This window comes from Homo sapiens, chromosome 12 (assembly GCF_000001405.40).
Source record: "Homo sapiens chromosome 12, GRCh38.p14 Primary Assembly".
Classification (NCBI taxonomy): Eukaryota; Metazoa; Chordata; class Mammalia; order Primates; family Hominidae; genus Homo; species Homo sapiens.
Genome location: NC_000012.12, coordinates 116,757,503 through 116,775,557, shown reverse-complemented (window position 1 = coordinate 116,775,557; position 18,055 = coordinate 116,757,503). Strand labels below are relative to the sequence as shown.

The following is an 18,055-nucleotide window of genomic DNA, read 5'->3' as shown; positions in this document are numbered from 1 at the left end:
CAAGGGCACAAAGCTGGGAAGTGGTAGAATTAAGGCTCTGATGTTGGTCATCAGACATCAAATCCTGAGAAGATTCAAGCTCAGTGGTAAGTGTCGCCTCCAAGGCTAAGACTCCTTAGCAAGGGCTTCATGAAGTCTCAGTGTCCTCACCTGTGAAATGGGTCCCCAGGAGGCCAAGATAATGGTTGTTGGTGTCACATACAAGCACCGTCTAGACTGGTGACTTCTGGTGACTTCAGTAAGGACAAGGACTCAGCTATGTTGCTCTTCTCTCTCTCTTTTTTTTTTTTTTTTTTGAGACGGGAGTTTCACCCTTGTTGCCCAGGCTGGAGTGCAATGGCGCAATCTTGGCTCACTGCAACCTCTACCTCCCCGGTTCAGGCGATTTTCCTGCCTCAGCCTTCCAAGTAGCTGGGATTACAGGCATGTGCCACCACACCTGGGTAATTTTGTATTTTTAGTAGAGACAGGGTTTCATCATGTTGGCCAGGCTGGTTCAAACTCCTGACCTCAGGGGATCCGCCCACCTCAGCCTCCCAAAGTGCTTGGATTACAGGCGTGAGCCACCGCACATGGCCTGTTGCTCCTCTCTTAAGCTTCTCTCTCTCTCTCTCTCTCTCTCTTTCTGTGCACCAGTTTGACTCAGCCTGCTTTGATGGGGGCACAGAGGTCTGAGACTGGGAATATCATCATACCCAGAAAATGGCATGAGCTGGAAATTCATCCAAGGTTCTGGGAAACTCCACCTCCTCCACCCTCCATCCCCTCCACCCTCCACCCTCCACCCGGACCTTGACATTCTAGACCATGCACTGAATGCGGCGTATGAGATCTGTGTTGACGCCTCAGAACTGAGTCCTCAAATTGCTTTTATGGGTAGCCTCAGAAGATGGCAAAACCACTCAGTCCTTAAAGTTCATTTTCAAAACAGATGGATGTGATCTGAAAGGCTGACTTGAGTTTCATCCCTGTCCTAGAGGTCCTCTGGCCAACCCTACCCCCAACCATCCACAAAAGAATCTTCCCTCAATTCTGACAGCTCTGATAGTTTCCACAAACAGCAATCACGTTCTGATTAGCATTCGCTTATGCAGTGATCTCTAAATACTTTTTTTTAAATGAAGCTAAATGTATTCTGCTTACAGGATTATTTTTCTTTCCTACTTAATTCTTTGGTGTTAAAATAACCATTCTTTTATGAAATGATGTCAGTGGTAGATGATCTTTTTTTCTAATTGTGGTAAAACACACATAACATAAAAGGTACCGTCTTAACCATTTTTACGCGCACAGTTCAATGATGCTAAGTACATTCACATTGTTGCATAATCATCACCACTATCCAACCACAGACCTCTTTTCATCTTGCAAAGCTGAGACTCTGTACCCATTAGCAGTAACTCCACATTCCCTTCTCCCCCCAGTCCCTGGCAACCGCCATTCTTTCTGTCTATAAATCTGACTACTTTAGGTACTTCATGTAAGTGAAATCATACACTTAATGTCCTTTTTTATCTGGCTTATTTCAATTCACAAAATGTCCTCAAGTTTCATCCATGTTGCAGCATGTGTCAGAATTTCCTTTCTATTTAAGGCTGAATAATATTCCACTGTATGTACATACCGCAGGGTGTTTATCCATTCATCTGTCAATAGACACTGGGTTGCTTCTACCTTTTGGCTATTGCATGATGATCATTTTAAAAATATGTTTTCAGTTGCAAAAAGCAAGCAGATATCTACATGGTAAACCCCTGGACTTTGTTGTGGGTCAATTTACTGGTTTGTGAAATCTCTAAGTCTGGGACTTACACAATTTTGTATCTGATGTAGAGATGTGATTCCCATCACCCTTACACCCTCTACAGATTCTTCCAAGTAGTTGCATTTAGGGCCTCTGCTGAGCCTGTGACTATTCTGAGATGTGCTCACCACTGCCATCCTCAGGGAAAGCATCCACATCCCCACTGGACTCTGCGACCCAGCCCCTCTGGCCCATGAAAAGCCAACCAGAAGCGCTCTGTCTTTAATTTTAAAGGAGAAACAGAGACTGCCAGTGAACGGCTAAGTCATGCCAAGAACTGAACATCAAATTCCAGGAAGTCCCTGGTCCCTGCCCTTTCTCGAGGCTTGTTGTTTGGTTTTCCTAGGATTGTTTGAGTCCCTGCATGGAACAATGCCTAAAGGAAGAATTCCCTGTTTGCTTAAGTTAGTAACCCAAAGGGCCCTTAGTTGATATGTTTTCTTAATATAGTCCTGGGCACACACACAGGAAGTGTCAATAGACGTTACTTGCGGCTGGGCATGGTGGCTCACGCCTGTAATCCCAGCACTTTGGGAGGCCAAGGCGGGCAGATCACCTGAGGTCAGGAGTTCCTGACCAGCCTGGCCAACATGGTGAAACCTGTCTCTATTAAAATTATGAAAAATTGGCCGGGCGTGGTGGCTCATACCTGTAATCCCAGCACTTTGGGAAGCCGAGGCAGGTGGATCACAAGGTCAAGAGATCGAGACCATCCTGGCCAACTTGGTGAAACCCTGTCTCTACTAAAAATACAAAAATTAGCTGGATGTGGTGGCATGTGTCTGTAGTCCTAGCTACTTGAGAGGCTGAGGCAGGAGAATTGCTTGAACCCAGGAGACGGAGGTTACAGTGAGCTGAGATTGTGCCACTGCACTCCAACCTGGGCGACAGAGCAAGACTCTGTCTCAAAATAAATAAAGAAATGCTCCTTGCATTTGTTGACATTTCTTGTGCATTAAAGTGATATGCTGGTAAATGAAAGAGTTGTAAAATGGCATGTTCTGCACACTACAACTTCCACAACAAATATGTATAAATATGTAGAGAAAAATGTTAGCAGAGTTGCTGTTAGGTGACAGAATTGGAGGTGTTTTTGGTCCTTTTTAAATGGGTTTTCCAATTTTCACAATTAAAAATAAATTACTTTTGGGCTGGGCGCAATGGCTCACACCTGTAATCCCAGCACTTTGGGAGGCCGAGGCGGGTGGATCACGAGGTCAGGAGATGAAGACCATTCTGGCCAATATGGTGAAACTCTGTCTCTACTAAAAATACAAAAATCAGCCGGGCGTGGTGGCACATGCCTGTAATTCCAGCTACTCAGGAGGCTGAGGCAGGAGAATCGCTTGAACCAGGGAGCTGGAGGTTGCAGTGAGCCGAGATCGCACCACAGCACTTCAGCCTGGTGACAGAGCGAGACTCTGTCTCAAAAAATAAAAACAAAATAAAATAAAAATTACTTTTGAAATTAGAAATATAAGTAACTTTACAAACTGTGACCAGGTGTGGTGGCCCATGCCAGTATTCCCAGCACTTTGGGAGGCTGAGGTGGGAGGATCGCTTGAGCCCAGAAGTTCAAGGCTGCAGTGAGCCATGATGGCACCACTACCTTCCAGCTAGGGCAACAGAGCAAGACTGTGTCTCCAAAATAAAAAAAAATCTGAGATACTCATTTATTTGACAAATATTGATGGGGCAGCAACTATGGGACAGCATTGTATAGGCACCAGGGGAAACAAACTCATTAAAAAACATCGGAGGCTGGCAAGCAGCCCTGAAGGAACTCAGGAGGGAAACTGTTGACCGTTCGAGATGTTCATGGGAGTGAGTGAGATTCTGCCTGCTTCATTTACGTTGGCAGATTTGTGGAGGAAGCGTCTCGTTTCAAAAGAACTTCCAGGTGCATGGCTGCCAGGGTGACAGGGATATTTTAAGGAAGCTGATGATAAGTCGGGGCTAAGTAATCCATTCAATTTCCTGTGCTTTGCCTCCCCACTTGCCCCACCACATTGCGTAGAACTCTGAGTCAATGTCACAGAAGAGGGTGCCCACATCATGGGACATGTATTTGGGGTGTAGGAGCAAGAAGCCCTGTTACCTTGTCTCTGCACAGCTCAACCCAGATGGGGTAGACATTTTTATCACTTAACATTATTTAAAAAGCACTGCTATTACTATGTAAAAAAAAGTGTCCATTACAAAAAAATTATAAAATACAGATAATTCTAAAGAAAAAAATAAAATTGCTCATATACGTATTTTTTTTTTTTTTTTTTTTTTTTTTTTTTTTTTTAACGATAGGATCTCATTTTGTCACCCAGGCCGGAGTGCAGTGGTGTGATTATGGCTCACTGCAGCCTTGACCTCCCAGGCTTATGTGATCCTCCCACCCTAGTCTCCAGGGTAGCGGGGACTATAGGTGCACGCCACCATGCCCGGCTAATTTTTGTATTTTTTGTAGAGATGGAGTCTCACCATGTTGCCCAGGATGGTCTCGAACTCCTGGGCTCAAGTGATCTGCCCATCTCGGCCTCCCAAAGTGCTGGGATTACAGCGTGAGCCAACGCACCTGGACTATCCACATGTTTAACGTCTAGAGGACCACTGTTAATATTTTAGGTCAGGAGTCAGCAACCTTTTCCTTTAAAAACAGAGAGCAAATATTTTTGGCTTTGTAAGCTATATGGTCTCTGCCATAACCATTCAACTTTGTTGGAGCACAGATGAACTCATAAATGATACGTAAATGGATGGGTGTAGCTGTGTTTCAGCAAAATGTTACTAATAAAAATGGGTGAATGGCTGTAGTCTGCCAACCTCTGTTTTAGTGAGTATCTTTAAGGACTTTTAAAAAGTACAGGCATAAATGAATGAAAGAATGAATGAATGAAAAAAGAAAAAGCTGGTCACAATGGCTCACACCTGTGAGCCATTTGGGAGGCTGAGGTGGGTGGATCACTTGAGGCAAGGAGTTCAAGACCAGCCTGGGCAACATGGAGAAACCTCATCTCTACTAAAAATAAAAAAATTTAGCTGAGCATGGTAACATGCGCCTGAAGTCCCAGCTACTTGGGAGTCTGAGGTGGGAAGATTGCTTGAGGCTGGGAGGTCAAGGTTTCAGTGAGTGTGATCACACCACTGCACTCCAGCCTGGGTGACAGAGCAAGATGTTGTTTAAAAAAAAAATGAAAAAACAAAGAAAAAAGACATACATACTTAAAATAACTTTTAAAAGCTGTTACATTCATCAGATGGGGGAAAAATCAAATACAGTCATACATCGCTTAATGACTGGGACATGTTCTGAGAAACACATCCTTAGGTGACCTGGTCCTTGTGTGAACACCACAGAGTTGACTTACACAAAACTAGTTAGCATAGCCTACTACACATCTAGGCTATATGATATAGCCTATTACTCTTAGATTACAAACCTACATAGCTTGTTACTGTACTGAATACTATAGACAATTATAACACAATGGTATCTGTATATCTAAACAGAAAGGGCACAGTAAAAACACTGTATAAAGGATGAAAAAAGATACACCCATATAGGACACTTACTATCACTGGAGCTTGCAGGACTGGGAGTTGCTCTGGGTGAGTCAATGAGAGAGTGGTGAATGAATGTGAAGGCCTAGGACATGACTATACACTGCTGTAGAATTTACAGACACTGTACATGTAGGCTACACTACATTTATTTTATTTTATTTTGAGATAGAGTCTCATTCTATCACCCAGACTGGATGCAGTGGCACGATTTTGGCTTACTGTAGCCTCTGCCTCCCGGGTTCAAATGATTCTCCTGCCTCAGCCTCCCAAGTAGCTGGGATTACAGGATCCTGCCACCACACCTGGCTAATTTTGGTATTTTTTTTAGTAGAGACGGGGTTTCACCATGTTGGTCAGGCTGGTCTCAAACTCCTGACCTCAAATGATCCACCCACCTTGGCCTCCCAAAGTGCTGGGATTACAGGCATGAGCCACCATGCCCGGCCGTTACATTTATTTTAAAATGTTTATTTCTTCAATCATAAATTGACCTTAGCTTACTGTAACATTTTTACTTGGTACACTTAGTTTTTATTTTTTGACTATTTTATAATAACACTTAGCTTAATACAGATTGTACAGCTGTACAGAAATATTTTCTTTATATCCTTATTCTATAAGGTTTTTCCTATTTTTAAAATTTTTTGTTACAACTTAAGACATAAACGTACACCTTAGCCTCACCCTACGTGGGGTCAGAATCATCAATATCACTGTCTTCCACCTCCACATCTTGTCCCACTGGAAGATCTTCAGGGGCAATAACACCCATGGAGCTGTAATCTCCTACGATAGCAATGTCTTCTTCTGAAAGGCACTGCCTAAGGCTGCCTTACAGTTAACTTTAAGACGGAGTCTCACTCTGTCTGGAGTGCAGTGGCGTGATCACGGCTCACTGCAACCTCTGCCTCCCGGGTCCAAGCAATTCTCTGGCTCAGCCTCCCAAGTAGCTGGAATTACAGGCACCTGCTACCACGCCCAGCTAATTTTTGTATTTTTAGTAGAGACAGGGGTTTCACTATCTTGGCCAGGGTGGTCTTGAACTCCTGACCTCGTGATCTGCCCACCTTGGCCTCCCAAAGTGCTGGGATTACAGGTGTGAGCCACTGCGCCCGGCCAACTTTTATTTTTTACAAGTAGAAAAAGTATACTCTAAAATGACAATGGGTGGGCACTGTGGCTCACGCCTGCAATCTCAGCACTTTGGGAGGTTGAGGCAGGTAGATCACCTGAGATCAGGAGTTTGAGACCAGCCTGGCCAATATGGCAAAACACTTTCTCTACTAAAAATACAAAAATTAGCCGGGCGTAGTGGTGAGCACCTGTAATCCCAGCTATTTGGGAGGCTGAGGCAGGAGAATCACTTGAACCTGGGAGGCGGAGGTTGCAGTGAGCCGAGATCACACCACTGCACTCCAGCCTGGGCGACAAGGGCAAAACTCGTTTCAAAAAAAAAAAAGAGAGAGAAAAATAAAAAAAAAATGACAATGAAAAGTATAGTAAAAATATAAACCAGTAACATAGTCTTTTATGATCATTATCAAGCATTAGGTACTGTACATAATTGCATGCACTCTACTTTTATATGACTGGCAGGACAATAGGTTTACCCCAGCATCACCACAAATACATGAGTAAGGCACTGTGCTACAGCGTTATGATGGCTGCAATATCACTAGGTAATAGAATTTTCTAGCTCCATTATAACCTTATGGGACCACTGTTGTCTATATGGTCCATCGTTGACAGAAACATCATTACGTGACACATGACTGTAATATAAAAGGCCAAACTGGGCTGGGTGCGGTGGCTCATGCCTGTAATCCCAGCACTTTGGGAGGCCAAGGCCGGCGGATCACCTGAGGTCAGGAGTTCGAGACCAGCCTGGCCAACATGGTGAAACCCCATCTCTATGAAAAATACAAGAATTAGCTGGGCATGGTGGCAGGTGCCTGTAATCCCAGCTACTCAAGAGGCTGAGACAGGAGAATCACTTGAACCTGGGAGGCATAGGTTGCAGTGAGCCGGGATTGCACCACTGCACCCCAGCCTGGGCAACAAAGAGTGAAACTCCATCTCCAAAAAAAAAAAAAAAAGGCCAAACTGTGCAAAGTAAGTTTCTGATCTCCAGTGCCCACCAAGAGGCAATTATTATTTCTAGTTTCTTGGTTGTCCTTCCAGAAATATTCCAGACCTGCACTATTCATACAGTGTTCACTAACCATTTTGAACACTTGAAATGTGGTTAGTTGGAACTGACATGAGCTGTATATGTAAGATACCAGATTACAAAGAGTTAACGTGAAAAAAGAATGTAAAACCAGGGGCAGTGGCTCACGCCTGTAATCCCAGCACTTTGGGAGGCCAAGGCAGGTGGATCACGAGGTCAGGAGTTTGAGACCAGCTTGACCAATATGGTGAAACCCTGTCTCTACTAAAAATACAAAAATTCGCTGGGCGTGGTGGCGCATGTCTGTAATCCCAGCTACTTGGGAGGCTGAGGCAGGAGAACTGCTTGAACCTGGGAGGCGGAGATTGCAGTGAGCTGAGATCGTGCCACTGCACTCCAGCCTGGGCGACAGAGTGAGACTCTGTCTCAAAAAACAAGAAAAAACAAACAAAAAAAAAACATAATTTTTATATCGATCGTATGTTGAAATGACAATCTTTCGGGGCCAGGTGCGGCGACTCACACCTGTAATCAATCCCAGCACTTTGGGAGGCCAAGGCAGGTGGATTGCCTGAGCTCAGAGGTCCGAGCCCAGCCTGGGCAACACAGGGAAACCCCATCTCTACAAAAAATGTAAAAATTAGCCAGGTGTGGTGGCATGCACTTGTAGTACCAGCTACTTGGGAAGCTGAGGTGGGAGGATCACCTGAGCCCTGGGAGGTCGAGGCTGCAGTGAGCCATGATCACACCACTGCCAGCCTGGGTGATGCAGTGAGATCCTGTCTCAAAAAAAAAGCAAAACAAACAGACAAAACAAAAAACAAATATTTTTGATATACTGGGTTAAATAAAATCAATTATTATAATTGATTCCACCTGTTTCTGTTTAGTTTTCAGTAACTAGAAGATGTTAATTTACCTATGTGGCTTGCCTTGAAATTCTACTATTGAGTGCTGGTCTAGATATATATAAGTAGTAACAGCAGGGTGGAATTTGGAAGTTACAACATGACATAGAGCTTGTGCCTCATTCTCAAGTGAAAGGGTACGTGCCCCAAGCCCAGCCAAGTGCCCCACTCTCCCACCGTGGGGGTTGGATTCCCATGCTCACCTGTTGTACAGCTGCTGGGAGCTGAATGTATAAAGCACATAGAGGGTGTTCCCCGCCAGAAAGGCCAGGATCCACAAGATGACCAGCACTGACCTCTTCTCCTGAAGACAAAGCAAGAGATATGTGATATCAAAGGTGCATGTGGCAGAACCTTCCAGAATGTACCCTGATGACTGGCAGCTTTTCACTTTGTCAACATTTTGAAGGAAGTGGTGCTGAAGGTGAAAGGAAGGGCATTGGCACCTTTCTATTCCACTGATACCCAAGCGGTGGTCACGGAGAAGGTGGCAGAATGGTGGACATCTGCTTGAAAAACTATCTAGAAAGGCAAGAGAACACCATGGTTCGCAGCAGACTCCAGAGCAGCATGGCACACATTCAAATCCCTGGTCAAATCCTGTGTGGGAGCTGTCCAACTCCAGGCAAGTTATTTAAACTCTTTCAGTTTCCCTTTCCTCATCTGTAAAATGGGTATATCTTAGTATCTACCTTATAGAGTTGTAAGAATTAAAGTACATAAAATGCTGTTAAGAACTAAAGCACAGAGAGGTTAAGAAACCTCAAGGGGCTGTGTTTTAAGTCTCAGTGTCTTCATTTGAAAATGGGGTTGTTAAAGATTAAATCAAATTTTTTATTTTAATTTTTTTTTCTGTTCCCTAGGCTGGAGTACAGTAGTGTGATCATAGCTCACTGTAACCTTGAACTCCTGGGCTCAAGTGATCCTCCTGCCTCAGCATCCTAAGTAGCTAGCACCACAGGCAGGTGTCACTATACCTGGCTAATTAAAAAAAAATTTTTATTTTTTTTTAGAGACAGAGTCTTGCTATTTGGCTCAGGCTGGTCTTGAACTCCTGGCCTCAAGTGATCCTCCTGCCTTGGGCTCCCAAAACACTGGAATTACAGGCAAAAGTCAAATTTTTAAATGCAAACATTCAGTCTGGTACAGATTCATATTTAAAGCTTGCTAAGGGGTAGGACTGATTATTAAGAGTTTACAACCCAGCAGAAGATTCAGATCTAGAGGCTGGAAATTTCTGCTTTCACTTTTTCTAGGGAAGACCTCTGGCCCGCTGCCCTGGACTGACCATTCCATGGAATGCCACAGTGTAGAATTAAATCCAAGCTTATATACCTAATTCTCAAAGCCCTTCACAATCCAGCCCCATTTCTCCTTCTTCAGCCTCATTCCTGTCTAGTCCCCAGGAAGACAAATTGGAAATCCTCAGTTTGCTGTTTCCCAGCAGTTTCATAGCCTGACAGCAATCCTAGGAAATGTCTGAAGGAGATGCAAAGGGGGGCGTGTTCCTGCCTATGTACCCTGGGACACATAGGCAGATCCCTCTGCTGTTGATTCTCAACAGCTCGTGCCTTTTTTCAGACTGGAGTGGCTGCATTGCTGGAATAAGATGAGGTCATAACTTTCCCAGTGTAACCTTCCCTGTGGTTTCGGTAAATGCTCAATACACAGTGTCTCCAGACACAGCTCAGTGCCCCACGCACTGTTATGATGCACATTTCCAGAGAGTGGACGAAACAAATGCATCTCCATCCACCCATTATTCCAGGAGCAGTCAAGGTTAATGATGCTAGAAACCACCTCCAACCAACCAACTGCTCTTATCAATGTGATTAATCCACCTGGCAGCTCTTTTTACTCCAATGAATAATAGATTCCAGTTTAATTCTCTATGAATCCAAACCAAAGGTGGAATAGGAAGAGGGAATTAGCAATGTTCTGGGAAGACAGAAACTGAAGGACAAAGGAGGTAGTTCTCTCCTAATCAGCTGCGACGCCTAAGCTTACTAAGGGCCATGTAGACCTGCTCTTATGGAAGATACGCACATACAGGCAAAGTGTCACCTGTGTCTTCATGAGCATCAAGGACCCCTGGAGGCCCGTCCATGGATACAGAGATCCTCTCAGCTCCTAAAATTTAAGTCAAGGTGCCATTTGGATGTTACTGCATTTGAGACAGACCTAGCCCCCAAAGCTGCCTCCTACTGTTTTGTTTGTTTGTTTTTGAGACGGACTTTCGCTCTTGTTGCCCAGGCTGGAGTGTAGTGGCGCAATCTCAGCTCATTGCAACCTCCGCCTCCTGGGTTCAAGTGGTTCTCCTGCCTCAGCCTCCCAAGTGGCTGGGATTACAGGCGCCCACCACCATGCCCAGCTAATTTTTGTATTTTTAGTAGAGACGGGGTTTCACCATGTTGGCCAAGCTGGTCTCGAACTGCTGAACTCAGGTGATCTACCTGTCTCAGCCTCCCAAAGTGCTGGGATTATAGGCGTGAGCCACTGTCCTTGCCCCCTCCTACTGTTTTAACAACAGCAGAAAGGAGTTTGCATAAAGAAGATGAGACTAAGGGTCAGGAAGGACCTCTGACTCTGTCCCCAACTCCGAACCTCAATGTGCTCATGTGCAAATGGAGACTGGGTTGTCCTCCATGCTGCATGGAGGCCCAAGTGCTTTTGAGAAAGCAGACGATGCTATAGAAGGGTCAGTGAAGCTGGTGATTATTATGGGATCACCTGTGCAGGAGAAAGCACAGACTTTAAAAAAAAAATTATTTCCATAGGTTTTTGGTGAACAGGTGGTATTACATGAATAAGTTCTTTTGTGGTGATTTGTGAGATTTTCGTGCACCCATCACCTGGGCAGTATACACTGAACCCAATTTGTAGTCTTTAATCCCTCACTCCCTTCCCACTCTTTCCCCCAGAGTCCCCAAAGTCCACTGTATCATTCTTATGCCTTTGCATCCTCATAGCTTAGCTACCACTTATGAGTGAGAACATACAAAAGGTTTAGCTTTTCATTCCTGAGTTACTTTACTTAGAATAATAGTCTCCAATCCCATCCAGGTTGCTGCGAATTCCATTAATTCATTCCTTTTTATGGCTGAGTAGAATTCCATCATATACATATACCAGTTTCTTTACCCACTCATTGGTTGATGGGCATTTGGGATGGTTCTACATTTTTGAAATTGTGAATTGTGCTGCTATAAACATGAGTATGTAAGTATTTTTTTCGTATAATGACTTCTTTTCCTCTGGGTAGATGCCTAGTAGTAGGATTGCTGGATCAAATGGTAGTTCTACTTTTAGTTCTTTCCCCCCCCGCCCCCTTTTTTTTTTGAGATGGAGTCTCGCTCTGTCACCCAGGCTGGAGTGCAGTGGCGCGATCTCGGCTCACTGCAAGTTCCAACTCCCAGGTTCACGCCATTCTCCTGCCTCAGCCTCCCGAGTAGCTGGGACTACAGGCGTCTGCCACCACATCCAGCTAATTTTTTTTTTGTTATTTTTTTTTTTAACTGAGATGGGGTTTCACTGTGTTAGCCAGGATGGTCTCGATCTCCTGACCTTGTGATCCACCCACCTCAGCCTCCCAAAGTGCTGGGATTACAGGCGTGAGCCACTGCGCCCCACCTAGTTCTACTTTTAGTTCTTTAAGGAATCTCCACACTGTTTTCCATAGTGGTTGTACTAGTTTACATTCCCACCAGCAGTGCAGAAGTGTTCCCGCATTCATGCCGACATCTATTATTTTTTGATTTTTTGATAATGGCCATTCTTGCTGGAGTAAGGTGGTACTGCATTGTGGTTTTGATTTGCATTTCCCTGATCGGTAGTGATGCTGAGCATTTTTTCATAAGTTTGTTGGCCATTTGTATATCTTCTTTTGAGAATTGCCTATTAACATCCTTAGGCCACTTTCTGATGAGATTTTTTTTTTTTTTCTGAAAGCACAGACTTTTGAAAACTAGCTCAATTAAATGTTTCCTACATGCCAGGCACCATGCTAAACATTGCCTTCTTTTTATTTTTTCTTAAACAGAGAAGGTCTTGTTCTGTTGCCCAGGCTAGAGTGCAGTGGTGCAATCATAGCTCACTGCAGCCTCAAACTCCTGGGATCAAGCAATCCTCCTGCTTCAGCCTCCTGAGTAGCTAGGATGACAGGCACATGCCCCCACACCTGGCTAACTTTTTAAAAAAACTTTTGCAAGCCAGGTATGGTGGCTCACGCCTGTAATCCCAGCACTTTGGGAGGCTGAGGTGGTCGGATCACCTGAGGTCAAGTGTTCAAGACCAGCCTGGCCAACGTGGTGAAACCCCATCTCTACTAAAAATATAAAAATTAGCCAGGCATGGTGGCATGCACCTGTAATCTCAGCTACTCAGGAGGCTGAGGCAGGAGAATCACTTGGTAATCTTGGTGGTGCACACCTGTAATCTCGCTACTTGGGAGGCAGAGGTTGCAGTGAGCCGAGATTGCACCACTGCACTCCAGCCTGGGTGACAGAGTGAGACTTCATCTCAAAAAAAAAAAAAAAAATTGGTAGAGAAGAAAGGGGTCTTGCTATGTTGCCCAGACTGGTCTCAAACTCCTGGGTTCAAGGGATCCTCCCGCCTCAGCCTCCTGAGTTGCTGGGATTACAGGCATAGGCCACCATACCCAGTACTTGTGCTAAACACCTTGTATGCACTATTTCTTTCTTTGTTTTTTTTTTTTGTTTTGAGATGGAGTGAAACCATCTCAAACCATCAAACCATCTCAACCCAGGCTGGTGTGCAATGACACAATCTTGGCTCACTTCAACCTCCACCTCCCAGGTTCAAGCAATTCTCCTGCCTCAGCCTCCCAAGTAGCTGGGATTACAGGTGTGAGCCACCATGGCTGGCTAATTTTGTATCTTTTTAGTAGAGACGGGGTTTCACCACGTTGTTCAGGCTGGTCTCAAACTCCTGACCTCAAGTGATCCACCTGCCTTGGCCTCCCAAAATGCTGGGATTGCATGCATGAGCCACAGTGCCTGGCTCTTTTCTTTTTTTCTGTTTTTTTTTTTTTTTTGAGACAGTCTCACTCTGTCACCCGGGTTGGAGGGTGGTGGTGTGATCTCGGCTCACTGCAACCTCTGCCTCCCAGATTCAAATGATTCTCATGCCTCAGCCTTCTGAGTAGTTGGGATTACAGGCGTGAGCCACCGCGACCGGCCTGGATGCACTATTTCATTCAATCCTTTCAATGGGTTTGTGAATTGGTGCCAACAGGCTCTTTTCCAGAGGCGGCACCTGAGGCTGAGATCACCAAGGTAACCTAATTGAGGGTCTGCAGGTGGGTGGAGGAGCAGGGATTTGAACCTGGAATGAGCACGGGCTCAACTACCCAGGTGCAAATCATGATGCCATCACTTGCACTGGCTGTGTGACCTCAGGTAAGGAACTTAGTGTCTCTGAGCCACTGTTTCCTCAGTGGGAAAATGACAGAAAAATGATTTTGTTTCCCTCCCAGGTTGCTGGGATGAACCTGCTGAGATGAGCAATGGGCTCAGTACTGTGCCGGGCACGCAGTTAGTGCTCAGCAGACACAGAGGACATGCAGGAGGATGGTGGTGAAGCTCTATGTCCACCCAGCAGCATAAGAGGAATGGCCATAAGCATGAAGGTGGAATGAAAGTAACCTAATGGGGCCAGGCATGGTGGCTCACGCCTGTAAACCCAGCACTTTTGGAGGCCAAGGTGTGCGGATTACCGGAGGTCAGGAGTTTGAGACCAGCCTGGCCAACATGGTGAAACCCCGTCTCTACTAAAAATACAAAATTAGCTAGGCGTGGTGGTGTGTGTCTGTAGTCCCAGCTACTGGGGAGACTGAGGCAGAGGAATTGCTTGAACCTGGGAGGCAGAGGTTACAGTGCGCCAAGATCATGCCACTGCACTCCAGTCTGGGCAACAGAGCAAGATTCCGTCTCAAAAAGAAAAAAACAAAAAATGAAAGTGAGCTAATGAGCTGAATGTCTGCGGCGTAAAGGGACTGGGCTAGGTGTACGTGGAGGAGATGCTGCTGTTGGAGGGGAGAAAGAAGGAACATTCAGGGATCTACCCAGGGGTGATAGACCGAAGAATGGCCTCCCTAGGAGGCTGAGGTCAGAGGATTGCTTGAATCCGGGAGTTGGAGGCTACAATGAGCTATGGTCATGCCACTGCACTGCAGCCTGGACAACAGAGCAAGACTCTGTCTCTAAAAATTATGAAATAAAAGAAGAGGTTTTGGTGAGATCATGGCGGATGGGAGGCAGGACTAGATTGCAGCTCCAGAGAGAGCAGCGGGCGGCAGCTCGCATTGTGAATTTTAGCACCAGATTGACTGCAAGGACAAACCAGCAATCCCGAGAGGACCCACAGACTCTCTGAAGGAAACGGACTGCTCCTGCAGGACCCAGGAGAGCCCCCCAAAACTGCGAATGCCCCAACTGCGGAAGTGGGAAAGGGAGACCCTCCTCTCCCGAACACTCACCCTCACGGGGGAAGCTGAAGGTCTGTTTGCAGGAGAAGTTTCCAACTTTATCTGGCGCTGAGTCAATTTGGAAAGCCAAGCAAAATACAGGCGTAGAGGAAGCAGCAGCAAGGCCCTGGGAGCTCACTGGGTCCCCCAGCAGCCCATTCCTGTCTGGCACCACGGGGATCCAATGGGTAGGAGCAAGGGCTAAAACTCCACAGGGAGAAGCAAATCTCTAGCTGAACTGTGTAACAATTTGAACAGGGTAAGAAGCCTCCTGGCCAGAACTCAGGGGAGGGTGCAAATCCAGTGTGCAGACTCCACAGCGGCGGCACGAACTAAACCCTCTTCTTTGGCAGCTGGGAGGCGGATAGTCTGGGGCAGGTTTTCAAGCCCCTATCGCTCTCCACCTGGAAATGGTCTGGGGGCTGTTGTGGTGGGCATGGTGGGAGTGAGACCGGCCCTTCGTTTTGCAGGGGAGCTGGGTGAGGCCTGTGACTGCCAGCTTTCCCCCACTTCCCTGACAACCTGCATGACTCAGCAGAAGCAACCATAATCCTCCTTGGTACACAACACCAGTGACCTGGGAATGTCATCTACTTAACCCATAGCAAGACCCGCCCAAGGAGAGTGAGAGGTCAGAAACGCCTAGCCTCACCCCAACCCGATGGTCCTTCCCTCCTACCCACCCTGGTAGCGGAAGACAAAGGCCATAGAAACTCGAGAGTTCTAGAGCTCCACGGGTTCCTCGCCACGCTACCACAGCTGATGCTCTCTGGAAAGCGCCACCTCCTGGCAGGAGGCCAACCAGCACAAAAATAGCGCATTAAACCACCAAAGCTAAGAACCCTCACGGAGTCCATTGCACCCTCCACCACCTCCATGGCAACAGGCACTGGTATCCATGGCTGAGAGACCCATAGACAGTTCACATCACAGGACTCTGTGCAGACAACCCCCAGTACCAGCCTGGAGCCAGGTAGACTCGCTGGGTGGCTAGACCCAGAAGACAGACAACAATCACTGCAGTTTGGCTCACAGGAAGCCACATCCATAGGAAAAGGGGGAAGAGTACCAAAAAGAGGGAAAACCCCCTGGGACAAAAGAATCTGAACAACAGCCTTCAGCCCTAGACCTTCCGTCTGACGGAGTCTACCCAAATGAGAAGGAACCAGAAAACCATCCCTGGTAATATGACAAAACAAGGCTCTTCAACACTCCCCCAAAATCACACTAGTTCACCAGCAATGGATCTAAACCAAGAAGAAATCCCTGATTTACCTGAAAAAGAATTCAGAAAGTTAGTTATTAAGCTAATCAGGGAGGGACCAGAGAAAGGCAAAGCCCAGTGCAACGAATTCCAAAATATGATACAAGAAGTGAAGGGAGAAATATTCAAGGAAATAGATAGCTTAAAGAAAAAACTATTAAAAATTCAGGAAACTTTGGACACATTTTTAGAAATGCGAAATGCTCTGGAAAGTCTCGGCAATAGAATTGAACAAGTAGAAGAAAGAAATTCAGAGCTCGAAGACAAGGTCTTTGAATTAACCCAATCCAACAAAGACAAAGAAAAGGGAATAAGAAAATATGAACAAAGCCTCCAAGAAGTCTGGGATTATGTTAAATGACCAAACCTAAGAATAATCAGTGTTCCTGAAGAAGAGAATTCTGAAAGCTTGGAAAACATATTTGGGGGAATAATCGAGGAAAACGTCCCCGGCCTTGCTAGAGACCTAGACATCCAAATACAAGAAGCACAAAGAACACCCGGGAAATTCATCGCAAAAAGGTCTTTGCCTAGGCACACTGTCATCAGGTTATCCAAAGTTAAAACGAAGGAAACAATCTTAAGAGCTGTGAGACAGAAGCACCAGCTAACCTATAAAGGAAAACCCATCAGATTAACAGCAGATTTCTCAGCAGAAACCCTACAAGCTAGAAGGGATTGGGGCCCTATCTTCAGCCTCCTCAAACAAAACAATGATTAGCCAAGAATTTTGTATCCAGTGAAACTAACAATCATATATGAAGGAAAGATACAGTATTTTCAGACAAACAAATGCTAAGAGAATTCACCCATTACCAAGAATTTGCCATTACCAAGTCACCACTATAAGAACTGCTAAAAGGAGCTCTAAATCTTGAAACAAATCCTGGAAACACATCACAACAGACCCTCTTTAAAGCATAAATCACACAGGACCATAAAACAAAAATACAAGTTAAAAAGCAAAAACAAAAAATGAAAAAACCAAAGTACACAGGCAACAAAGAGCATGATGAATGCAATGGTACCTCACATTTCAATACTAACATTGAATGTAAGTGGCCTAAATGCTCCACTTAAAAGACACAGAATCACAGAATAGATAAGAACTCACCAACCAACCATCTGCTGCCTTCAGGTGACTCACCTAACACATAAGGACTCACATAAACTTAAAGGGGTGGAAAAAGGCATTTCATGCAAATGGACACCAAAAGCAAGCAGGGGTAGCTATTCTTATATCAGACAAAACAAACTTTAAAGCAACAGTGGTTAAAAGAGACAAAGAGGGACATTATATAATGGTAAAAGGCCTTGTCCAACAGGAAAATATCACAATTCTAAATATATATGCACCTAACACTGGAGCTCCCACATTTATAAAACAATGACTAACAGACCTAAGAAATGAGATTGACAGCAACATAGTAATAGTAGGGGACTTCAGTATTCCACTGGCAGCACTAGACAGGTCATCAAGACAGAAAGTCAACAAAGAAACAATGGATTTAAACTATACCTTGGAACAAATGGATTTAACAGATACATACAGAACATTTCATCTGACAACCGCAGAATACACATTCTATTCAACAGCGCATGGAACTTTCTCCAAGATAGACTATATGATAGGCCACAAAACGAGCCTCAATAAATTTAAGAAAATTGAAATTATATCAAGTACTCTCTCAGACCACGGCAGAATAAAACTGGAAATCAACTCCCAAAGGAACCTTCAAAACCATGCAAACACATGGAAATTAAATAACCTGCTCCTGAATGAGCATTGGATCAAAAATGACATCAAGATGGAAATTAAAAAATTCTTCAAACTGAATGACAATAATGACACAACCTATCAAAACCT

The 18,055-nt window shown here is 45.1% G+C and overlaps 1 protein-coding gene across 6 annotated transcripts in view, besides 3 other annotated features; it reads right to left on the bottom strand.

Moving 5' to 3' along the window:
• The window catches only part of RNFT2 (ring finger protein, transmembrane 2), a 115,317-nt gene that overhangs the window by 78,074 nt on the left and 19,188 nt on the right, over positions 1–18,055 (bottom strand). For all 6 annotated transcript variants that reach the window (NM_001382266.1, NM_001109903.2, XM_047429745.1 and 3 more), the window contains exon 6: positions 8,644–8,744. In NM_001382266.1, coding sequence (NP_001369195.1) covers positions 8,644–8,744 — 101 coding nt within the window. The remainder of the gene's footprint in view (positions 1–8,643; positions 8,745–18,055) is intronic.
• Positions 14,628–15,827: an enhancer, noted in NCBI's record as "MED14-independent group 3 enhancer chr12:117197536-117198735 (GRCh37/hg19 assembly coordinates)". NCBI's record gives its function as "activates an origin of replication core promoter dependent on BRD2, BRD4, P300/CBP and CDK7 cofactors, and independent of MED14, by STARR-seq in HCT116 cells {active_cell/tissue: HCT116}" and the evidence as "EXISTENCE:reporter gene assay evidence [ECO:0000049][PMID:35650434]".
• Positions 14,628–15,937: a biological region, named in NCBI's record as "MED14-independent group 3 enhancer GRCh37_chr12:117197536-117198735".
• Positions 15,353–15,937: an enhancer, noted in NCBI's record as "H3K27ac-H3K4me1 hESC enhancer chr12:117197426-117198010 (GRCh37/hg19 assembly coordinates)". NCBI's record gives its function as "activates a minimal SCP1, AML or CMV promoter by ChIP-STARR-seq in primed H9 embryonic stem cells {active_cell/tissue: H9 hESC(primed)}" and the evidence as "EXISTENCE:reporter gene assay evidence [ECO:0000049][PMID:30033119]".